At 45.2% G+C, this 24544-nt stretch overlaps 1 protein-coding gene across 4 annotated transcripts in view, besides 6 other annotated features; it reads left to right on the forward strand.

The window, feature by feature from the left end:
- Positions 1 to 24544, forward strand: part of PTPRJ (protein tyrosine phosphatase receptor type J) — a 190281-nt gene that overhangs the window by 69965 nt on the left and 95772 nt on the right. The gene's annotated exons all lie outside the window — the stretch shown is intronic.
- Positions 344 to 845: an enhancer, noted in NCBI's record as "H3K4me1 hESC enhancer chr11:48072419-48072920 (GRCh37/hg19 assembly coordinates)". NCBI's record gives its function as "activates a minimal SCP1, AML or CMV promoter by ChIP-STARR-seq in primed H9 embryonic stem cells {active_cell/tissue: H9 hESC(primed)}" and the evidence as "EXISTENCE:reporter gene assay evidence [ECO:0000049][PMID:30033119]".
- Positions 846 to 1345: an enhancer, noted in NCBI's record as "H3K4me1 hESC enhancer chr11:48072921-48073420 (GRCh37/hg19 assembly coordinates)". NCBI's record gives its function as "activates a minimal SCP1, AML or CMV promoter by ChIP-STARR-seq in primed H9 embryonic stem cells {active_cell/tissue: H9 hESC(primed)}" and the evidence as "EXISTENCE:reporter gene assay evidence [ECO:0000049][PMID:30033119]".
- Positions 1814 to 2108: a silencer, noted in NCBI's record as "tiled region #8111; K562 Repressive non-DNase unmatched - State 7:EnhWF". NCBI's record gives its function as "represses a minimal TATA promoter and a strong SV40 promoter by Sharpr-MPRA in K562 cells {active_cell/tissue: K562}" and the evidence as "EXISTENCE:reporter gene assay evidence [ECO:0000049][PMID:27701403]".
- Positions 5802 to 6303: an enhancer, noted in NCBI's record as "NANOG hESC enhancer chr11:48077877-48078378 (GRCh37/hg19 assembly coordinates)". NCBI's record gives its function as "activates a minimal SCP1, AML or CMV promoter by ChIP-STARR-seq in primed H9 embryonic stem cells {active_cell/tissue: H9 hESC(primed)}" and the evidence as "EXISTENCE:reporter gene assay evidence [ECO:0000049][PMID:30033119]".
- Positions 10834 to 11128: an enhancer, noted in NCBI's record as "tiled region #12058; K562 Activating DNase matched - State 5:Enh". NCBI's record gives its function as "activates a minimal TATA promoter and a strong SV40 promoter by Sharpr-MPRA in K562 cells {active_cell/tissue: K562}" and the evidence as "EXISTENCE:reporter gene assay evidence [ECO:0000049][PMID:27701403]".
- Positions 20807 to 20982: a silencer, noted in NCBI's record as "fragment chr11:48092882-48093057 (GRCh37/hg19 assembly coordinates)". NCBI's record gives its function as "represses an EF-1alpha promoter that drives an FKBP-Casp9 reporter gene in an ReSE screen in HepG2 liver carcinoma cells {active_cell/tissue: HepG2}" and the evidence as "EXISTENCE:reporter gene assay evidence [ECO:0000049][PMID:32094911]".

The raw sequence follows: 24544 nt of genomic DNA on the forward strand, positions 1-24544 counted from the left end.
TTCCTGTTCACACATTTCTTCACACATTTGTTCCTCAGTGCTCAAATGCCTGCTGTATTCCAGGCTGTATTTGAAGCCCCTGAGCCTTTATTTGGAGAGTTCATTGAACATTAGAGCATGCAGTTTGCTGAGATGTCTTGTACTTAGAAAATCCAATTTATAAAAAACCTCAAATAGAACAGTAAATTTAGGGAATTTTTTTTTTCTGATGATAAAATTAGATAACTCTGTTGCATGGATTCTGTAAAACACAGCTCCCTCCTGTTACGCCATGAATTGGGTTCAATTTACAACACCCCTTTAGGCATACTTTTTCAGCAACACATGTCTGAGCCGAGGTGCACTGTGCCTCTTTCTGTAGCAGGCAGCTTTTAGGGGGTGTCCTAGTGGTCTTATGTTTTATACATCTCATGGGAGTGGCTGGTTTCTAGGAAATAGCTCACTTGCCAGTTTTGGTAACCCTAACAGAGCTGTTTTGCCAAGGCGTCTGGTGAATATTTCTGTCTTCCAGTCAGGACTAATATAGTACTTTTCAGAGGTGATAGCCAGTTAACTGATGACTTTTTTTTTTTTTTTTTTTTTTTTTTTTTGAGATGGAATCTCGCTCTGCCACCCAGGCTGGAGTGCAATGATGCGATCTTGGCTTACTGCAACCTCTGCCTCCCGGATTCAAGCGATTCTCCTGCCTTGCCTCCTGAGTAGCTGGGATTACAGGTGCGCACCACCACGCCTGGCTAATTTTTGTATTTTTGGTAAAGTCAGGGTTTTGCCATGCTGCTCAGGCTGGTGTCGAACTCCTGGGCCCAAGTGATCTGCTCACCTCGGCCTGCCGAAGTGCTGGCATTACAGGCGTGAGCCATTGCACCTGGCCGTGTTTTCTGTTTTTTATTTAGAGGAAGTCACTTGATCATGCTTTTCCCCCCACCCATGGCATAGGAAAATGATTCTTTTGCTGATTGTGCTGATTAAATGTGATGTGGAAAAACCTACTCCTGGTGTTCAGAGAGGTTTTCCAGGTCACAGTGGGGTGGGTCTCATCTGGACATCAGAATCATTATGTTAATGATAACTAAGAGCAGTTGACTGCTTACTATAAGCCAGCCACTGACCTCAGGGCATTGCATAACTGGCTTCCTTTACTCTTCACATCAGCCCTGTGGGCTTGGGAGTGAGACCTCTACCTAGTTTTTAAACAAATTACATAAACTTTTTGGGGCTCAGCTCCCTCATCTGAAAATCAGAAAATGATACTTCTCTGGCATTTTGAGCATGAGTTCAGGAGTCAGACTTCCTGGGTTTGAATTCTAGCTTCTTCTATGACTTTGAGCAAATTACTTTAACTTTGCTAAGCCTCAGGTTTCTCGTGTTGCATAGGCAGATGATAGTCATATCTGAATGTAACGAGAATCAAATGCAACCTGGGACACAGTGAACACTTGGTGAACGTTAGTGCCTTGGTAACAGTGATGATAGTGACAATAAAGATCGATGATGATGATGATGGCGATGGTGCTTAACCCAGTATGAAGGTGAAGTGTCTAAGCTTCTTGAGGGCAGAGTTTTGTCTTCTTCTGCACTTTCTTTCTAGTGTCTAGAATTGCCTGTAGGTTTACCCCTGGATCCCGTCAGGATGGGGCTAAATTTAGAATTTTTGGAAAGATGTGAGCTAGCCCGTCTACAGTGACATCCAGCTCAGTGTGTATGTTTGGTCTGTGAACATAGTAGAGGCATGATTCAACTGTGAGTTTGTGCTGGGAGCATAGATGGATGCTTTTCAGGCTCTTGAAATGTGCAAGTGTGGTTCCCTTGCAGCAGGCATTGCCTCTCCCTCGTTAATCAAGATCTTTTCCTTGCCAGGACTTCAGGAGATCCTGGACATCCTCTGGAGCCCAGGGGTGGCCTCACCCGCTCCTTGCTTTAGCCTGGAATGCAGGCCCTCAACATTCCAGCCTTGGGTTAGTGCCAGAGCTGTGAAAGCAGGGCAGGCATTTCCACCTTGCTTGACAAAGGCTTTTGCTCTCTGGGTGGTTGGGGGTGCCTCTGAAGCCAGGCGAGACCAGAGATCTCATGGGTTTGTGTTTCTTCATTGATACTTTTAAGGGGAGCAACTTAATCAGTGGGAAACCAGATCTCAAAGGATGGGACAGATAAACGCAGGGTACAGAGAAGAGCTTGGGGGAGTGTCAAGCTTATTTGCCCAAAAGGGCTGACCCTACCTTACCGCCATTAATACATGTCCTTCATGCATCCCTGGGTAACAGGGAAGTAGTACCAAAAATCTTACAGTGCAATAAACACTTGGCAGAAATGGAGAAACTAGTAATGGCTGAGCAGCTGTGCCCTCTCCACCACCTCACTATGCAGTACGTGGGCCACCAGCCGCTAGGGGCCTGGCAGCCACAGAGATGAGGGAAGCATGCTGAGGACCCTGGTGTGGAGTTGGAGGGGTCATGTCCTCTGAAAGGTGGCCACCACTCATCGCCAGCCCTTACTGTCATGTGAGAATGTGGCTCTGTGTTTCCAGATATTGTTTTTTTTTTTCCCCTCCAACAGAAGCAGGAAATATAAAAAATTTATATAATATATATAAAATATATTATATATAAATATATAAATATATAAAAATAAATATATATTATATATATAAAAATATATAAATATATATAAAAATATATAAATATATTATATATAATATATTAAATATATTATATATAATATATTTATATAATATATATAATATATTATATAAATATATAAATATATAAAAATATATAAAATATATAAATATATAATATATATTATATATTAATATATTATATATTATATATAAATATATAAAAATATAATATATATAAAATATATATAAAAATATATGATATATAATATATATAAATATATATGTATAAAATATATATTATATATTATATACTATATATTATATATAATATATAAAAAATATATATAAAATATATATATAACTTCACGGAAACTCTGAAGGAGAGGTCAAATATAATATTATATATTTTATATATATAATTTATATATATATAAAACTATATATATATATTTTTGAGAGACAGTCTTGCTGTGTTGCCCAGGCTGGAGTGCAGTGGTGTGATCTTGGCTCATTGCAACCTCTGCCTCCCAGGTTCAAGCGCTTCTCCTGCCTCAGCCTCCCAAGCAGCTGGGATTACAGGTGTGTGCCACCATGCCTGGATAATTTTTGTACTTTTAGTAGAGGCAGGGTTTCACCATGTTGGCCAGGCTGGTGTCGAACTCCTGACCTCATGATCCGCCCACCTTGACCTCCCAAAGGGCTGGGATTACAGGCATGAGCCACCGTGCCTGGCCAGGAAATTATATTTTTATGAGAAATATTCTGTTGTTTAAATTCTGGCACCTCGTTCTTTTTTTTTTTTTTTTTTTGAGACGAAGTTTCACTCTTGTCGCCCAGTCTGGAGTGCAGTGGCATGATCTCAGCTCACTGCAGCCTCTGCCTTCTAGGTTCAAGTAGTTCTCCTGGCTCAGCCTCCCGAGTAGCTGGGATTACAGGTGCCTGCCACCACGCCTGGCTAATTTTTGTATATTTAGTTGAGATGGGGGTTTCACCATGTTGGCCAGGCTGGTCTTGAACACCTGACCTCAGGTGATTTGCCCGCCTTGGCCTCCCAAAGTGCTGGGATTACAGGCGTGAGCCATGGCGCCCGGCCCTAGTTCACAAAATATATATGGCCAAACAAAACATGTCTGGGGCTAGACTTGGACAGGGGGCCCCATTGTGCAACCTCTTATATAGCAAATTAGAGTTTACCAGGAAGTTTCTGCCCTTCAGGCCCTCTGCTCTCACAGAAACTCTATGAAGGAGAGGTCATCTTGTCTATGTTTGTAAGAAGTCACATTGAGAGAAATGACATCTTAGCTCCTCTTATGTGCCAAGTAGTTTGTCTGCGTTATCTTCTTAGATTGGCTCCATCTCTCAGGTGAGGAAACAGACTTGGAAAGGTGAAGTGACTTGCCCACCTAGTTAGAAGCACATCATCTTCTGATTCCTGTCTCATTTCATTTCACCGCTTGTTTGCCCTCTCTGTGGTCTTGCCCACGGACTTGTAGTCCCTGATGTACGCCAGGCCTCTCACAGTGTGGCCCCCGGGATTCCCTTTTATGAAAAAAAGTTGAGCATGAGCTGTAAGTTAGAGTAGGTTTTAATTCTGTCCTACCACGGAGTCTGTTTTATATGAGAACAAGTTATTTAACTCCTCTGAGTGTTAATTTCCTCATTTTTTTCCTTTCTTTCTTTTTTTTTTTTTTAAAGGGCCAGTCCCCATTCTCACAGGGTGTTTGGAAGGAGTAACTGAAGGGGGGTATATAAAGCCGCTGGCAGCCAGGCATGGTGGCTCACGCCTGTAATCCCAGCACTTTGGGAGCCTGAGGCAGGCAGATTGCTTGAGTCTAGGAGTTCAAGACCAGCCTGGGCAAACATGGTGAAACCCTGTCTCTATAAAACATGCAAAAATTAGCCAGGCATAGTGGTGCATGCTTGTAATCCCAGCTACTTGGGTGGCTAAGGTGAGAGGATTACTTGAGCCAGGGAGGTTGAGACTGCAATGAGCTGTGATTGCGCCACTGCACTCCAGTTTGGGTGATGCAGTGAGATCCCATCTCTAAATAAAAAAAAAATAAATAAAGCCCCTAGCATGGTGCCTGGCACATGGTAGGCCCTCAAAAGATGACCCTCCAAAGTGGCCAGGACTCACCATGCATTCAGGGAATATGGATTCTTTTGGTGGCAGCAGGCTGCATTTTTGCCTGGCTGAATGCCTGCAAGCATGGGAACTTTTGATGCAACAGTAATCCTTGGGGTCTGAAAGGCCCCAAATCTCCCGCCAGATCTCTGAGGTTAACATCCAGTCAACCTTTTGCTTTTCATTCTTGGCCTCTTTCCTCCTCACCTCCACCAGTGTGACAGTCATATCCTCTCTATGTTTCTGGTAAGTTCTGGCCTTGAGGGCTGGTCTTATGACTGACAAGTGAAGAGCAGTGCCACCCTCTACTCCACATTCTCAGAAGCGTCTCTAGGTTCCATACTTTAAGGCAGGCTAGCTTCCAAGGCATACTGACAGACATCCCTGTGCAGTCCTGGGGGCACGAGGGTCCCATTCCACCCTGGGGCTTCAGGGTCAGGTGAGGAAGGTAGATCCCTGAAGTTGGGTCCAGAAAAGGCCACTGGGCTAGCCTGTCTCTCGTTCTGGTCACTGACCTCAGGATCCAGCAGGACGCTGCTAGCTTGCTTGGCTCAGCTCTGCGAGTGCTGGGAGCAATAAGCAGTGCTGAAAACGCGATGCATTTCAACCCAAAGCACTCTGATCCCTTTCCAGGCTTTGGGAGAATGTTTTTTCCAGCTCGGTTACTTGCTGGCATGCATAGGTCAATATACAAGGTGTTCTCAGAGAAGCCGGAGCTGAATGTTGACTTTTGTGCTCCCTGGGGTGTGTTCTGGGGAGGAAGTGGGTTTTCAGGTTGTGGTGCGTGTAGGATGTGGTCTGGGATGATTAGTATCACACACTGTGGATAAAGTTAACACGCATTGTGGAGCTTTTTTCCTCTTTTGTACTTTTGGGCGAAGGTGCCTCAAAAGCAGCTTTGTTTATCAAGGAGGTGCCCTTGATTCTGTATGCATTTTTAACATCTGAATAGAAGTTAGACGCACACATAATTGCTTTACTTGATGCAGTAAATACGTTTCAGCCAGATAATCCATAAGACCCTAGTTCAGATCCTGACTTTGATCCCTCTTAGTTGTGTGAGCTCTCACCAGTTTACTTGACCTCACTCTCTGAGCGTCAGATTCCTGAGTGTAAAATAGGTACAAAAACTCAGATTGTTGTAAGGTTTCAGTGAGTTGTTGCGTGTAAAGCATTTAGTATACAGTTCTTGTCACAATGTTTAGTAATGGCAGCTATTATCTTAACTATTAGAGCGGCAGTTTGGCGTGGCACTAATAATGATGATGGTGACAGTTTCACTGAGTGCTTACTACCTCAGCTATTCTTCCAAGTACTTTGCATCACTTAGCTCATTTAACCCTCACAATAAAGCGATAAGGTAGGTGCTGTTCTAATCTCTGTTTTACAGATGCTAAAACTCGGCAGCCAGGTGTGGTGGCTCATGCCCGTAATCCCAGCACTTTGGGAGGCCGAGGTAGGCGGATCATCTGAGGTCAGGAGTTCGAGACTAGCCTGGCCAAAATGGTGAAACCCCGTCTCTACTAAAATACAAAAGAATTAGCTGGGTGTAGTGGTGCATGCCTATAATCCCAGCTACTCAGGAGACAGAGGCAGGAGAATCGCTTGACTCCGGGAGGAGGAGGTTGCAGTGAGCCGAGATTGTGCTATAGCACTCCATTCTGGGCGACAAGAGCGAAACTCTGTCTCAAAACAAAACAAAACAAAACTCAGGCACAGAGAGGTTAAGTAACTTGCCCAAGGTAACCCAGCTCATAAATATGAAAAGAGCAGGGACTTTAGAGTCAGAAGACCTGGGTGGCACGCTTGCATGCCGTGTCCTGGTGGTGTGGCCTACCGCAGAGTGACTGACTCTGATTGCCTTCCCAACTGTAAAATGGTGCTAATGATACAGACCGCCCCCCATTGCCTGGTGTGGTGCGCGGCTGTGAGTGCTTAATAATAGGTGCTTAGGCATCATTTGCTAATTAACTGACTGTGTTAGGTTATTAGGAAGTTCCAGTGGGCTAATAAAAGCTCTGGGTAAACGTTAGTTGTTCTTTTAAATGTCCTGAGGTGCTTATGATTGGAGTTTAAACAGCACACCTGTTTTTCAGATTTCGGAACCACTTAAGAGAGGCACAGTGTAAAGAAGGTGGAGATGAGAATATCACCTTTACTCCTGATACAGTCTTGGAGAATGCAGCTTAGTTGTGGGGCAGCATTAGCTTTCTGATATGAAGCTGAGATTAGGTGGATGTACCAGGCCAGTCACGGGCAGCCTTGGGTACCCAGAGGCCTTCTCACGTGGGTCGAGGCAGGTGGTGGAGGTGGTGGCAGCGGTAGCCCCCATAATACTTCTAGGTGGAAGAACAGACCACCTGAGTGAGAGAAATCACTCCTGAGCCCTGGGGGAGAACTGTGTGGAGGGGCAGATGGGAGCCTGGAGTTTTGAGGGAAAAAAAACTTTCCTTTTGGAAGCCAGACGTAGGGAAGAAGCATATTGATCACAATGACTATTAAAGAAAGCTCCCCAACACCCCAGCAAAACACCCACAAAACAAGAAACTACTTCTGCCAATGGTTCTAGCCAGTTTTCTTCACCACAGTTCATGACTGCTTCATCCTTTTAGGTGATCACACCCAAAACTTTTGGGTCTTCCTGCCTTTTTTTTTTTTTCTTTTGAGACCAAGTCTTGCTCTGTCACCCAGGCTGGAGTGCAATGGCACGATCTCGGCTCGCTGCAGCCTCCGCCTCCCGGGTTCAAGTGATTCTCCTGCCTCAGCCTCCCGAGTAGCTGGGATTACAGGCATGTGCCACCATGCCTGGCTAATTTTTGTATTTTTAGTAGAGATAGGCTTTCACCATGTTGACCAGGCTGGTCTTCAACTACTGGCCTCAAGTGACCCACCTGCCTCTGACTCCCAAAGTGCTAGGATTACAGGCATGAGCTACCACACCCAGCCTTTTTTTAAAACAAAACCAAAACCAAAAGAGACAGGGTCTCTGGTGTGCAGTGGTGTGATCATAGCTCACTGCACCTTGACCTCTTGGGCTCAAGCAATCCTCCTGCCTCCACCTCCTGAATAGCTGGGACTACAGATGTGTACCATCACACTCATCTAATTAAAACAATTTTTTTTTTGGTAGAGATGGGATCTCGCTATGTTGCCCAGGTTGGTCTTGAGAACTCCTGGCCTCAAGCGATCCTCCTGCCTTGGCCTGCTAAAGTGCTAGGATTACGGGTGTGAGCCACTTTACCCAGCCTTGGGTCTTCCTTGACTCCTGACTCTCAAACCTCATATTCAGTCCATCTGCCAGTCTGTGGGTTCAATCTTCAAAGCAAACCCAGAACCTTACTACTTCTCACCTCTCCCCAGCCACCGCTCTGGTCCAAGCCACCATCGTCTCTCACCTGGATTAGTGCGGGGCTCTCTTCCTGGTCTCCCCACTTCTGCCCTTGTCCCTCTTCAGTCTATTTCTATGAGGCCACCAGAATTATCTTTTTTAAAAACTGAAGTCAGATCATGTTGCTCCTCTGCTCAAAGCCCCGCAGTGATTCCCTGGCACGCCGAGGGGAAAAGGCAAGATCCTCCCAAAGGCCTGTACGATCTGCCCCCGGCAGCTCCCTGGCCTCTTCATTTTGTGCCTCCTCTGCCCCCTCTGCAGAGCCACACTGGCCCTGGTAGTTTCTAGAACACGTCACGTTCATGCCTGCCTCTGGGCTTTGCATGGGCCTTCTTCCCAGGCACAACGTGGGGCTCTCCCCACTTCTTCCACCCTACAGAGAGGCCGGCCCTGATCAGCTGTTTTATAATAGCTCCTCCCGATCAGTACTCCTGATCGCTCCCTACTGTGCTGTGCCTTTTTTTTTTTTTTTTTTTTTTTTTTGAGGCAGAGTCTCACTCTGTCCATTGCCCAGGCTGTAGAGCAATGGCGTGATCTCAGCTCACTGCAACCTCTGCCTCCCGGGTTCAAGCAATTCTCCTGCCTCAGCCTCCCGAGTAGCTAGAACACAGGTGCCCGCCACCACATCCGGCTAATTTTTTGTATTTTTAGTAGAGGTGGGGTTTCATCATGTTGGCCAGGCTGGTCTGGAACTCCTGACCTCAGGTGATCCACCTGCCTTGGCCTCCCAAAGTGCTGGGATTACAGGCGTGAGCCACTGCGCCTGGCTGCTCTGCTTTTTACCCATAGCTCTGGCTCTAATATATGACACTGCCCCTCCCTGAATTAGAATGGAGGCTACAGGGGGATGCTGGTCTGTTAGTTGACTGATGCATCTTCAGCACTTAAGACAGTGTCTGGCACAGAGTAGGAACAGAATATGGTCCTGTAACAAATACTGAAGGTTGTGCTCTGTGCACCTGGGATAGAGCAGGAGCAAGACACATCATTCCTGCCCTCACAGGGTTATGGTCTCCTAGGTGACAAGGTAGTGCACACTTCCATAGGTCTTACTCTGGGACAAGTACTGTGCCAAATGCTTCCTCCCAGCCGCCTGATGAGGTAGCTACTGTTAGTTATCAAGTCTGATTTACAGGTGAGGCAAAGAAAGGATAAGTAATTGACCCAAGGTCACACCTAGCAGGTGGTGAAGCTGAGCCATGGGTCTTGGCTTCAAGAATCTGTGCTCTTACCCACCATACCTGCTGCTGCCGGATTCAAACCCGAATTGCATTAAGGAATCATCATAACCTGTTTGATTGAAGCTATAAGGGAACTTTGAGCATGGTGAATGGGGCGCTCTATGGAAAAGGGGTTCTGGGAAGCCTCTGTGGAAGGGAGGTTTTGTTAAGTGAACTCCCCTGGTAAACGGAGTGATTGGCCCCCAATTAGCTTGCTGTTCGGATTAACTGTAATACATCACACTTTCGAAAGTGAAGATATGCCTATTTTTTCCCCTCTAGGTCTATAAAGTAGATTTTTGCCATTAGTAAAATTTAAAGTGATTGGGGGCTATGGTTACTGAGAATTCAAGAGGTAGATTGACGAAATAATATTTGAATGCAATTTTATTTTTTGAAAAATGTTTTCGAGATGTCCTGTTTTTAGCCAGGAAGCAAACTCCAGGAAAACTCTCTTTTCCATTAAAGTGTGGATGGTGTACTGTAAACAAAGACTAGCTCTCTTGAGCTGCCACGTTTCTATAACTTATAGAAACAGAAGCTGTTTTTTTTTTCTAAAGATCCAAACTCATGTTGCCACACAAACAACAAAATAAACCAGTGTGTTCCAAAAACAAGCATTTGCTCTACCCACACGCACAGTTGGAAAGATGCAGGTTTGATTGAAGAAGTCGGAAGCCAGTGAGGTAATGGCAGATTCTTTTAGGGGCTCCTGTTAATTTTAGTAAGCTTGGAAGAAGCTTCTAGGTTGTTTAGTGTTTCTATTAGAACCATCACCTCAACGAATTTGTTATTGTAGAGATTGATTAGGGGATCTGCTTCCTTTGAGCAGCCAGGATCCCCCAGCTCCAGCTTCTAGCCTGCTTTTCTTCCTCATCTCTACTCTTTCAGAATAATGCATGGCTTTCAAGTCCTGTGTGATAGGTGGCTTCTTAGCGGGCCTCTGAAGGGGCTGAGATTTGTTCCTGGGGCTGAGACTTTGTTCCTTTGAGGGTGCAGAGGCTGCTACCTGCTCAGGCTGCCCCCAAATTGCTCTTGTGTGCAGTGTGCTGCTTGGGGACCAGTCCTGGCTCTGCCACCATGGCGGACACTACTGGCTTCCTCTTAATCTCAATCTCTTCTTCTCCTTTCTTTCTTTTTTTTGGAGACGGAGTTTTGCTCTTGTTGCCCAGGCTGGAGTGCAATGGCGCTATCAATCGTTCAAGCGATTCTTCTGCCTCAGCCTCCCAAGTAGCTGGGATTACAGGCATGTACCACCACACCTGGCTAATTTTGTATTTTTAGTAGAGACAGGATTTCACTATGTTGGCCAGTCTGATCTCGAACTCCTGACCTCAGGTGATCCGCCTACCTCGGCCTCCCAAAATGCTGGGATTACAGGCATGAGCCACTGTGCCTGGCCCTCTTCTCCTTTCTAACACAAGCCTGCTTCTCAGTTTCACGCACACATAGGAGTGGCCACCTGACCCTGTGTTGGCAAATGATTGCAGGCTGTTGTCACCGGTGGGGCTCCTGGAAAAGCCCTCTATGGGGGATTGACTCTGGCATGACTGGGGTGTGGATGCTGTGCTCAGAGGTGCTGCAGTAATGGTTCTGCTGCTGCTGATAGTAACACAGGCAGTGCTGTGTCATGCACAGTAATCCTGTAAGGGAGATACTATCATGATCTCTGTTCGGTGGATGAGGAAACAGTCTGAGGAAAGGCACCTGACCTGTTCAGGCCACACACTAAGTACAGAGCTGGGATCCTGGCACCAGCATTTGCTCTCACCACCTCTCTGTTATGTACCTCTCACACAGGTGCGAGTCCCACCCCAGAGGGGCCTTGAGAGGCTGCAAGTGTCCTGGGTGGGCTGCCTGCTTCAGGAGGACTTATTATTGGGGAAAAATACCCCCCCTACTTATTACTAAGGGCCGAATGCTTTATGTTCACACAACAACTCCATGTTGTGTGACTTTGGACATGTTCCTTAACTTTCTTTATCTTGGTCTTCTCATCTCTGTAAAATTGGGATCATAATGGCACCAACTTATAGTTTTTTTTTTTTTTTTTTTTCTTTTGAGTCAGGATCTCACCCTGTTGCCCAGACTGGAGTGCAGTGGTGTGATCTTGGCTCAGCCCTTGGGCTCAAACGATCCCCCCACCTCAGCCTCCTGAGTAGCTAGGACTACAGACATACACCACCATGCCTGGCTAATTTTTTTTTTTTTTGGTGGGTTTTGCTATGTTTCCCAGGCTGGTTTCTAACTCCTGGACTCAAGTGATCTGCCTGCCTCGGCCTCACAAAGTGCTGGGACTACAGGCATGAACTACCATGCCCGGCCAAACTTCTAGGTTTCTTAAAAAAGTGCCTGGCAGGCCAGGCGCGGTGGCTCATGCCTGTAATCCCAGCACTTTGGGAGGCCGAGGCGGGCGGATCATGAGGTCAGGAGATCGAGACCATCCTGGCTAAAACGGTGAAACCCCGTCTCTACTAAAAATACAAATAATTAGCTGGGCGTAGTGGCGGGCGCCTGTAGTACCAGCTACTTGGGAGGCTGAGGCAGGAGAATGGCGTGAACCCAGGAGGCGGAGCTTGCAGTGAGCTGAGATCATGCCACTGCACTCCAGCCTGGGCGACAGAGCGAGACTCCATCTCAAAAAAAAAACCAAAAAAAACAGTGCTTGTTGTTCTTTTGTTGTTATTGTTAAAGGATCATTATCTCATTATCAACAACATTGGCAGGTAATTGAGCAACTGTTTGTCTCCTTGTCAATGTGGAGATAGAAAATTGCCTACGAGGTTGGACAAGGTGCTGGAGCAGCGTCAAGGAAGAGAGATCGAACAAGAAGACTGCTTTGCCCTTGGACAGCTTTGTTTCTGAAGCACTTTCTCATATTCTCCCATTTAATCATCCCCTCCCTGCCAACTTTTCCAACAGGTGCATACTTAGGTAGAGCTATTCTTTATCAGCCTGGGGCTAAGATTTGTTCCTGGGCAGGTTATCTTTGTCTCTGCCTGGATAGAGGCAGGGGCAGTAGAGTTGTCATGCATTCCAGACTACTAGCTATGCAGAAGCAGGAGCAAGGTAAGAGCAGATTTGTATGAATGAGGGTGTCAGGGAATATCTTAGATGTCCATTTAGTTGTTAAAAAAGAGAACTGATGCCTATATTTCAAAACCCAACTTTGATCTGGATGCAGTGGCTCATGCCTGTAATCCCAGCACTTTGGGAGGCCGAGGTGGGTGGATCACCTGAGGTCGGGAGTTTGAGACCAGCCTGGCCAATGTGGTGAAACCTTGTCTCTATTAAAAATATAAAAATTAGCTGGGCGTGGTGGCACACGTCTGTAATCCCAGCTACTTGGGAGGCTGAGGCAGGAGAATCGCTTGAATTTGGGAGGTGGAGGTTGCAGTGAGCTGAGATTGCACCAATGCACTCCAGGCTGGGCAACAGAGCAAGACTCCATCTCAAAAACAACAACAACAAGAACAACAAGAACAAAAGAAAAAACCCCTAACTTTGGAGAGGTTATCTCCTGAAAAGGAGGGTTTTGGTCTCTTTCTCGCACTGCTCTAAAATAGTGACTGGCACATAGTAGGTAGTCAGTAAATATTTGTTGAATGAATGAATGAATGAAAGGTAATTGGCCTTCCCTGCTCAGTTCTCATTAAAAATTCTGGTTTTCACATATATGGGCAGTGTCCCAACAGGCTGCTGGGGGGTGGCCGTTTGTGATGGCCTCACCAGTCTTTCCCAGAGAGGGAAGTGCACATTTTTAGGCTACTTTTGCTCTGACTGATACACTTGGCTGCCTAACAAAAAGCCAGAGAAGAACTAAGATTTTTAGCATCATTCAAAATGCTTGCCATTCCTTTTGCTTTGTGAAATCATGAGCTAGTTATTTTGAGTTCACATAAAGGTCAGAACTTGATCTGGGGAAGGAGGTTCCCCTTGGTTTATGTGAGGGGAACTTTTTCGCCCTTCTGTTTATTTTATCCAAAGGCTTCTGTTTTTCTCCCAAGCTAAAATCTGGCATTTGTTGTAGAAAGTTCTCAGCTTATGTGTGTGTGTGTGTGTGTGTGTGTGTTTTTAAAAAGAGCTCATATTTTGGCTTTAGTTTTGATTCTCAGTGATTTTTTTTTTCTGCCTGAGAGTTGATTTTCTGCTTCTTCAAAGTCCAGCTCTCAAGTGGGTGCCTAAAGTTGTTTCGTTTTAGAGGTGACTTAATCATTTTTTAGGCCTTTAAGTGCTGCTCCCAGCTTGTGTTTCCTTCTGTTTTTAGTTTTTATGTGGGGCAGGGTCTCCAAAGTACACGGGCTCTTTTCCCCACCCCTCTACCCTCATTTTAACTGTGCATCAAATGGGTCCTGTTTCTTCTTCATGTATAATTTTGTGAGTCAGGGAAGGTGGTGAAGGCCCTTGAACCCTGGCTTTGTCATGGCCCTTCCTTAAGGACCTGAAGGTCTCTTCTCCTAAGGGCTAGGTTGGTTCAGAAAGTGAGAAGGGCTGGACCTTTTGTGGGGAGAGGATACAGCAGGGTCCGAACAGCTGGGCTGACACCGGGCAGCAGCCCAGCAGCAGTCGGAGCTGCAGGGTCAGCTCACCATGGGCTGAACTTGGGCATTGCCTGTTTAGGCAGAGTCTGCCCGAGCCTTTCCTGCTCCCTGAGAATCCTCAGCATGTTTTCCTGCTGAGCAAGGAGTGAGGAATGAAGCCCACTACGAAGCCCGAGCTGCAAATGTATTTATTTATTTATTTATTTAGAGACAGAGTCTTACTCTGTCGCCCAGGCTAGAGTGCAGTGGTGAGATCTCAGTTCACTGCAACCACCGCCTCCTGGGTTCAAGCAATTCTCCTGCCTCAGCCTCCTGAGTAGCTGGGATTACAGGCGCCCACCACGGGCCCGAGAACTGAGTCTCGCCCATCTAATTTTTGTATTTTTAGTAGAGACAGGGTTTTGCCATGTTGGTCAGGATGGTCTCGAACTCCTGACCTCAGGTGATTCACCCACCTTGACCTTCCAAAGTGCTAGGATTACAGGCGTGAGCCACTGCGCCCGGCTCTGAGCTGCAAATTTAATAGGGAAACTGAAGGAAGAGGTTCTCCACAGCACCAGTGGGGCTGAGACCTGTTTTCCTCAACTACCTTTTTTTTTTTTTTTTTTTTTTTTTTTGAGACAGAGCTTCACTCTTGTTGCCCAGGCTGGAGTGCAATGGTGCGATCTCATCTTACTGCAACCTCTTCTTCCCAGGTTCAAACGATTCTCCTGCCTCAGCCTCCCGAGTAGCTGGGACTACAGGCATGCACCACCATGCCTGGCTAATTTTGTATTTTTAGTGGAAAAGCGGTTTCTCCATGTTGGTCAGGCTGGTCTCGAACTCCCGACCTCAGGTGATCTGCCTGCCTCTGCCTCCCAAAGTGATGGGATTACAGATGTGAGTCACTGCGCCTGGCCAACTGCTTTGGTTTCTGAGTCCTCCCTCCTCTAAGCCCGCTCAGTGTGTGTCATTCCTGGGAGGCGGTGGCTCTCCCAGGACCCCATGCCGAAATCTGCCTTCTTCTTGTCTTCATTCCCCCACCTGGGGTACCCCTCAGTGTTTTCCCATTACACAGATTCACGTTTACATGTTCTAGAAACATCTGTAAGTCTTTTTCCTGTTTGTAAATTGTATATCCTCTGTTAGATTAAAAAACTTTTAAAAGTAAGTGTCTTTCTCTGTGGTGACCTATTTGTGTGGCATAGTATAGGTTACAAAGCCCTTTTCATGCATTGTTTTACTTATAAGTAATGTTTATAGATGATACCGAGGTAGACCCTATGGGGTGCTTACTATGCCAGGTCTGTTCTAAGAATGTTATACACATTACCTTACTAACCCACCCCAACCATCCATTGTGTTATTGTCACCCCTGTTACAGGGTGGAGAGAAGAAGGCAGAGAGAAGTGGAATGACACTCCTGAGGCTAGGCATTTGCCAAGTGAGGTCTGGGATTTGAACCCAGGCAGCTGAACTTCAGAATCCTGGTGTTTAACCACTATACCATGCTGGCCTTCATGTTATTGAGCAGGATAAGGAATTGTCACTCTTGACTTGTTTTTGAAACATGAAAACCCTTCTCTTAAATTCAAAAGTAATACATAGCTGGGCACGGTGGTGTGCACCTGTAGTCCCAGCTACTTAGGAGGCTGGGGAAGAGGATAGTTTGAGTCCAGAAATTTGAGACTGCAGTGAGCTCTATAGTCATGCCACTGCACTCTAGCCTGGGTGGCAGAGTGAGACCCTGTCAAAACAAAGCAATAACAAAAAAAACCAAAGTAATGCGTATTGCAGCAAGTACTTAAATAATGTAGATGCATAAAAGCAAAAAGTGAGAATCCCCACTCCTCCTCCAGTGCTCTGAGATAGACTGAAGTAACTCTTCAGGGATGAGTGTAAACACAAGGGATGTCCTCGAAGACTTTCCACTTGGAAAGCTTGTGTATTTTATACATTAAGTATCATAAATATGTAGTTACCCTAATGGGTCCCCGCCATTGCTCTGCAGGCAGTGGGCTGAGGTTCAGGAGTTAAGTCAGCCCCAGGGCACAGGGTGGTGCAACAGAAGAGCCTGAGTCGAATCCAGATCTCCCCTCTCCACTGTGACTGTTTCCTGGGAAACTAGTCAGGGGCTGGTTTTATAGGAATTATCCAGTCGTATTATTATTATTATTATTATTATTATTATTATTATTATTATTATTATTGAGACTGAGTCTCGCTGTGTCGCCCAGGCTGGAGTGCGGTGGTGCCATCTTGGCTCACTGCAACCTCCGCCTCCCAGGTTCAAGCAATTCTCCTGCCTCAGCCTCCCAAGTAGCTAGGATTACAGGCTTGAGCCACTATGTCCAACTAATTTTTTTATTTGTAGTAGAGATGGTGTTTCACCATGTTGGCCAGGCTCATCTGGAACTCCTGACCTCAGGTGATCCGCCTGCCTCGGCCTCCCAAAGTGCTGGGATTACAGGCGTGAGCCACCGCCCCCAGCCTTCCAGTCGTATTCTTGACAAATGGTTTTCCATGAAGTTGTGGACACCTTCCAGGGTCACAATTAAATGGTTAAATGAGTCACGATTAAATAATGATTGTGGGTACCTCCCAGAGTTTCAATGAAAAAGGGAATTAACTTTGGACACAGACAGAATAATGCAAATCTTCAGTTTTGGTTTAGAAAATCTGAAACCTGCAGTGGGGAATACAGAAAAGAAGGAAGTAGAAGGAGTCTGTCCCCAACCCCGCCCCTTCCTTTTTTCTCTCCTCTGGAGAGAGAAGGGATTAGGAGGCCTCCTGGAAAGGAGTCCCTTTCCTGTGATCAAACTCACCCCTTCCCTCCACCAGAGCAATTACAGAGCCTCCGGCCTGGAACCTTCCTCACCGGCCTGGAGGAGACACCATTCTGCGGACAATGGGGGGAAGGAAAGGAAAGCAATGCCGCTGCCAATGGTGCGGATGACTTCCTCAATGCCAGACTTGCTTGCACTTTCAAAGTCCCTCCTCGGAGGTCCCCTGGTAGGACCTGGAGATAGGATGTGCTTTCACTCTTTACAGACTATTGTCCAGGAAAGAAAGTTTCAGACTTTCTTAGGCAGGGAAGGGCCCTCTGACTGTGAATTTATTTGGAAATTTGAAAGAGAAGAGAGTCTTATCCTAGGAAGTGTTCTTTTTCTTTCCCCCTGGATTTGACAGGCCAGGCAACAGCAATTATCCAAACCACTGCTCTGCACCAAGAGGCAAACCACAGGAAAAAGAAACCCGAACAAGCAAGGAGAATAGAAGTTCCCCAAAGCATGCCTTCTTGTTTTTCTCAGAGGACAGTCTTTTCATTCATGTTTTACAGATTGGTCCAACAAGTGCAGTTCTTCTAGTCTCCTATCTAGATAAGCAGGATATTAGAAGGAATAGGAGAGGCCTGCAAAAAGCTATGATAGGGTGGAAATAGGATAGGAGAAACTGAAAAAAGGGGAGGCGTGCGCTCCAACACCTCCATAGCCCTTGGGGACGGGCTTAGTTTCTAATGAGAATACAGAAGGCCCATGTCTCAATAGGCCCCGAAAAATATTAATCCAGCCCAATATGAACAGTCTGCTAATTATATGACTGGGCCTGCTTAGGAGATCAGGGCAATATTACATTCAGAGTACTCAGTTTAGGAAGATGACACAGTGTAATACATACAGATTTCCATCATTTCTTTTATTCCTCATTTGGAGAGGCAACAGGGCTGAGATAGACATGTTAGCGATGGCTAGATTGATTGATTTATTGACTGAATGAATGGCCTGCTTTAGGCAGCGGGAACACTGAATGAACATTTTAAAATCAGCTGGTATAGGTCAGGAACTGTGCAGGTTGCTGGGAATGGGTAGATGAAAAGACATTGCTATGGTTTGGCTGTGTCCCCACCTAAATTTCACCTTGAATTGTAATCCCCATGTTTCAAGGGTGGGACCAGGTGGAGATAATTGAATGGGGGGGTGGTTTCTCCCATACTATTCTGGTGGTAGTGAATAAGTCTCACGAGAGCTGATGGTTTTATAAATGGGAGTTCCCCTGCACAAGCCCTCTTGCCTGCCACCATGTAAGATGTGACTTTGCGCCTCCTTCCCCTTCCACCGTGATTGTGAGGCCTCGCCAGCCATGTGGAACTGTGAGTCAATTAAGCCTCTTTCCTTTATAAATTACCCAGTCTCAGGTATGTCTTCATTTGCAGCATGAGAACAGACTAATACAGACATGGACCTTGGCTGTAGGGAGTTTGCACTGTAGTGACGGCAAGAGCTCACGTGATCCATTTTAAGATAGAAGAGCGAGCTCAGGCAGAGGAACACAGAGCCAGGATGGTCCATGCACGGAATCTGGCCCTGCCCTTACTTTCTCCAGGAGCATGGGCTGGGTCCCTCTCCTCCCTAATCCTCACTTTGCTCATGTGTGAAATGTAGATCAAGTAAGTTCTACACTCAGAGGTCTCTTGTGAAGATTAAATGAGAAAAGGCATGGAAACTGCCTTTGCACACAGCCTGGTATATCCTGATGTCTGCTGATACTCTTATTTTTATGTTCCTTGACATTCCAAATCTGCCCCAGGGAGAATTCCAGGACAGCTCTGGAGAGGAAGTGATCTTTGAATCCAACCTTGAAATCACCCTAGGAGATGCAAAGAAGGTGACACCAGTTAAGAATAAGATGTGTACCCATTTTCAAATGTTCTTTTTTTTTTTTTTCAGATGGAGTCTCGCTCTGATGCCTAGGCTGGAGTGCAGTGGGGTGATCTCGGCTAATTGCAACCTCCGCCTCCCGGGATAAAGCGATTCTCCTGCCTCAGCCTCCCGAGTAGCTGGGATTACAGGCGCCTGCCACCATGCCCAGCTAATTTTTGTGTTTTTAGTAGAGATGGGATTTCACCATGTTGGCCAGACTGGTCTTGAACTCCTGACCTCAAGAATCCACCTGCCTTGGCCTCCCAAAGTGCTGAGATTACAGGCATGAGGCACTGCACCTGGCCCAAATCTTCTCAGTTCTAAATGGCTGTGATAAAAACTACATTGATAATTTTTTTTTTTTTTTTTTTTTGGAGATGGAGTCTCGCTCTGGTGCCCAGGCTGAAGTGCAATGGCGCAATCTTGGCTCACTGCAAGCTCCGCCTCCTGGGTTCACGCCATTCTCCTGCCTCAGCCTCCCGAGTAGATGGGGCTACAGGCGCCTGCCACCACCCCCGGCTAATTTTTTTTGTATTTTTAGTAGAGACGGGGTTTCACCATGTTAGCCAGGATGGTCTTGATCTCCTGACCTCGTGATCCGCCCACCTCAGCCTCCCAAAGTGCTGGGATTACAGGCCTCTGCGCCTGGCCTTGCATTGACAATTAATTTGTTTATGGAAAGCCAGTTATCCAATGATGGTGAACAAATGCAACTTGACTGTATAATACTTATTTTGGTTTTGGACCAAAGTCACCATTAAATATGCCAAGTTCTTGTTCAAGGAAACAGCTAATGTCGTGGACTTGCATCTCATTTGTAGTTGGTTCTCCCTGAAAAGTCAGTGGTGTGGGAGAAATGATACTTAGTCAAAATCATCAGTGAAAATCATTGCTTGGATCATCCCAAAATATAATGAACAAAAGTGATATTTATCTGCCACATTGAGAAACATTCACCATATCTCAATAAGCTCTCCTCAGCCAGTTGGTCCTTTTGTGGTTGAAAAAAGTGCCATATCTTTGGTTGGGCATCCAATAAAATATGGTATTTAGGGGCTACCTGTATGGAAAATCCATATCCTTAAAGGTTAGCTCACCAGGAGGATGTTGAGAAATGGCACAAGGGGCTGGGCGCGGTGGCTCATGCCTGTAATCCCAGCATTTTGGGGAGGCTGAGGTGGGTGGATCACTTGAGGTCACGAGTTCGAGACCAGCCTGGCCAACATGGTGAAAGCCCATGTCTACTAAAAATATAAAAATTAGCCAGGTGTGGTGGTGGGCGCCTGTAATCCCAGCTACTAGGGAGGCTGGGCAGGAGAACTGCTGGAACGCAGGAGGCGGAGGTTGCAGTGAGCTGAGATTGCACCACTGCATTCCAGCCTGGGTGACAGGCAAGACTCTGTCTCCAAAAAAAAAAAAAAAAAAAGGCACACAGGAATTGGGTTGGGACTCAGTAGATCAGTAGATTTAGATCTCCCAGCTTAGTCTCATCTCCATAGTGTGGGTGGAGTAGTACTCACACTATTTAAATTATTTTTATTTCACTACCTGAATCCCCTCAGCAAGTATAGTTTAATTCACCTGAGTAATACGCTTATGCGAGGGGATTTCTCCATGGGCCTTTTGTTTTTGCTCCTGCTGGTGATCTGATTTTAAATGTGAACGTGCCATTGCTAAGAGTTTTTGTTCTATGTATTATTCTGTGTGGAAAATTTCTTAAATGGGATTATTGAAGTATACTTCATTATTTATCTTCTGGCAATTTATCAACAACAGCAAATATCATTCATTATTGTTTGGAGGACAGAACTATTTTTATATTCTTTAATTAAAAATGGCTTTGACATTTTCAAATTCAGAGGGAAGTTGATAATTTAGTGCTGTATGATAGGACCTTTAGTTGGTCTGAATGTCACATAATTGTACAAATTGCTGTTAAAGTATATTATTACTTATTTTCTGAGAGGTAGAGGGACTTGGTTATCCTGGGATTGCATAATTATTGGTTCACTAGAACTACAGATGAGTGAAAAGAAGGGTTAGATACTCTCTAGTTCACTTTTCTTCCAGTGCAGGGAACATTCTATGGGGTTCCGAACAGATATAATAAGCTCATAATAACAGTGGCCATTGATTGAACTCTTTCTATCAAACAATGTGAAAAACATTAGTAGAGGTGATATCTTAGTCTGCTTTTGCTGCTGTAACAGAATACCTGAGACTGAGTAATTTTTTTTTTTTGAGATGGAGTCTCACTCTTCTGCCCAGGCTGGAGTGCAGTGGCGCTATCTTGGCTCACTGCACCCTCCGCCTCCCGGGTTCACGCCATTCTCCTGTGTCAGCCTCCCGAGTAGCTGGGACTACAGGCTCCTGCCACCACGCCCGGCTAATTTTTTGTATTTTTAGTAGAGACGGGGTTTCACCGTGTTAGCCAGGATGGTCTCGACCTCGTGATCCTCCCGCCTCGGCCTCCCAAAGTGCTGGGATTACAGGTGTGAGCCACCGCACCCAGCCTTTTTTTTTTTTTTTTTTTGAGATGGAGTCTCGCTCTGTTGTGCAGGCTGGAGTGCAGTGGCGCCATCTTGGCTCACTGCAACCTCCACCTCCCGGGTTCAAGCAATTCTCCTGCCTCAGCCTCTCCAGTAGCTGGGACTACAGATGCATCACGCCCAGCTAATTTTTGTATTTTCAGTAGAGACGGGGTTTCACCATGTTGTCCAGGATGGTCTCGATCTCTTGACCTCATGATCTACCTGCCTCAGCCTCCCAAAGTGCTGGGATTACAGGTGTGAGCTACCACGCCTGGCCATTTTTTTTTTTTTTTTTTTTTGAGACAGAGTCTCACTCTGTCACCCAGGCTGGAGTGCAGTGGCATGATCTTGGCTCACTGCAACCTCCGTCTCCCGGGTTCAAGCGGTTCTTCTGCTTCAGCCTTTTGAGTACTTGGGATTACAGGCACCTGCCATCATGCCTGGCTAATTTTTGTATTTTTGTACAGACGGGGTTTCACCATGTTGGCCAGGCTGGTCTTGAGCTCCTGACCTCAGGTGATCCACTCACCTCATCCTCCCAAACTGCTGGGATTACAGGTGTAAGCCACTGTGCCCAGCCCCAAGACTGAGTAAGGGGTGAGCAGAAATTCACTGGTTCACAGTTCTGGAGGCTGGGAAGTCTCGTATCAAGGTGCCAGCATCTGGCCAGGGCCTTCTTGCTGTGCTATCCCATGGCAGAAGTACAGAAGGGCAAAGAAAGAGGGCTGAACTTGCCCTTTTATAATGGCACCAACCCCACCCATGAGGGTGGAGTCCTAATGGCCTAATCAGCTCTCTGAGATCCCATCTGTTAATACTGTTACAATGGCAATTAAATTTCAACATGAGTTTTGGAGGGGACAGACATTCAAACCATGGCAGGTGGCAAGAAGTATCAAACTACTAGATCCTTGGGATTGTGCTTTGTACTGGGGTGTATTTTTTCCAACAATCCTAAAAATCATTTGAATAGAGATAGCAATATATATCTTACCCATTTGGAAATGCACAGAGATTCAGGAGTGTTCACATAGAAACAGAAGATCATTGGCTTTTGTCCATTCCCAACGCCAGTGATCTGTTTTTCTTGACTCTTTTTGATCTGTGTTTCTGAATGTGTTGATATACTGCGCTACTGGTGTGCAGGATGATTTTAAATGTTGCACAGATGAACATTAATAGTCATCTATTTTAATATGTATTAGGAAAAAGCCCATAAAACAATGAAGCCCATTAAAACCCCATGGTTTCTTGGATAGTATTACATAGGGTGAAGCTAATTTTATTTCAGTAAAAAATATGCAGGTCAATTTAAATAAAAAAATAGATAATAGTATAAATGGCTTGTGGCTACAGTAAAAATGATGATGGTACTTGAATGTCCAAATTAATTTAAGTGATATATGTGTTCATAGATACCATTTCATTTTAACGTGGTTCTGCTGGTCAGAACAGTCTTACGATGGGGGTGGTCTCCAGGCTTCACCTTGTGCCCACTGGCTCTGTTTGGTTCCTCTGGGCTCACACACAGGGAGCTACGTATGTCTCTCTCATTTCCTTTGGTATGTTCTCTGGGTTAAATGTCCCCAGCTATCTGATCTGTTCCCTGCGGGCCTTGGCCATTCCTGTCCTGGCCTTTACTGGCAGTCTCTATTCTAAAATGTGGGCATCCCACATGAGGTCCAGCTTCTCCTGAGATCCCCGGAGGTGCAGCTGCTGTGATGGTGACCTTGTTTAGCAGATGCTCCCTGCAGTCCAAACTCCCACCCATCGTCCTGCCCTTTGATCCATTTCCCATGAACTGCTTACCTCAGTTTTCTCATCTGTAAGATGGAGAGATAACTGTAAGTGCTTAGCACAGTGTTTACTAGCACAGACTACTGCTATTACTGTCAAGTCACTTTTCCTTTGCTGCCAATAGGTCATTTTCTGTTTATGGCTTCTTCAGTATGAACTGATCAACTGTAACTTGAAAATTTCCAGACTTAGGACTTTTGGACTCATAGTGAAAGGATCCTTTCCCAATTCCCTTGATCGGTTTTTCCTTTAAAAAAAAAAAAGATATTTGACATCTTTTCACTTTCAAGTTCAGTTTCTCTTCTCCTTTTTTTCTGGGTGATGGTTTATTATTTAAAAAATTTCTATGTATATGTGATTTAAAAGTAAACCCACGTAGCTGAAAATGTCTCATAGGTTTTTCTTGCATTTTCAGTTGACCCATTCACTTTGCAAATCTTTAGAGTATTATATTTAAGACAGCTTGCAGCTGTTTTCTTATATATATTTTACATGACAAAATTATATTTAAAACATATTAAACTTTAAAAAACCATAGTTTATAATTTATAAGCCATGTAGCATATTTCTATTTTTGAGACAGGATCTTACTCTGTCACCCAGGCTGGAGTGCAGTGGCTCGATCATGGCTCACTGCAGCCTTGACCTCCTGGGCTCAAGTAATCCTCCTGCCTCAGCCTCCCAAGTAGTTGGGACTACAGGCACATGCCACCATGCCCAGCTAATTTTTATATTTTTTGTAGAGATGGGGTTTCACCACGTTGCTCAGGCTGTAATTTTTAAAAACTAAAAAAAGAAAAAAAAGTGTTTACAGGACTTTAAATTGAGAAACTTAAATATCTTTACATATTCTGTGTTCCTAATTTATTTTTGCAGCAGTAATTATTTCAGCTGTCTTTAGTATTGACATGTTGGAACCTCGGATTAATTTGTGCATGGATATATTTAGAGCCTTTTACTTGACAAGAATCATGTATATCATGACTGAATTTGTAATTTCCCAGCATGAGACCCAAATTAATAGACAGTATTTAGATTCTAGGCAACGATGCATTATATAAACCAGCATCATTTAGGGAGTGGCAAAGACTCTCTCCCCACCAGTTCTGTGAACTTGGGCAAGGTGTGTAATCTTTCTGAGCCTTAATCTAATTAGACCCTTTCTCCTGTAACCCAGAGGGGGTGTTAGTAAAGTTGGTGTGAAAAAAGTCAATTATTGTACTGATGCAATTTGGGTGAAACTGTGAAGTTCAGTGTTCACATGATGGTTGTGGAGACACTGAACCTTAATCCTTAGGCCAGGGATTCAAAGTTTTTTTTGACTCTCATGTTGAACGTTGTCTAAAGTGCAGTGTGCCCTAGTTTTTAGGTAATTCTGAGAATTCTAAGGCCCTTGCTGGAATAATTAATGAGAATATGAGATTTCAGCAAATTAGGGCCAGGAGTCAGTGCTCTCAGCATGGAAGAATCTCACCTCCAAAAATTTTATGTGGGTTTTACACATTAAGCAAGCATAGGTGAGGTGCAGTGAAGGGGAAGTGATGGCTGTCAGTCGTTTGGCCAGGTTCCTTTGCATACAGGGGAGCTAGTGGGTGTATACCAGCTGAGACAGCTGAAGGAGGAGAACATGAAGAATAGTTGGAAAC

This window comes from Homo sapiens, chromosome 11 (assembly GCF_000001405.40).
Source record: "Homo sapiens chromosome 11, GRCh38.p14 Primary Assembly".
NCBI classification, from domain to species: Eukaryota; Metazoa; Chordata; class Mammalia; order Primates; family Hominidae; genus Homo; species Homo sapiens.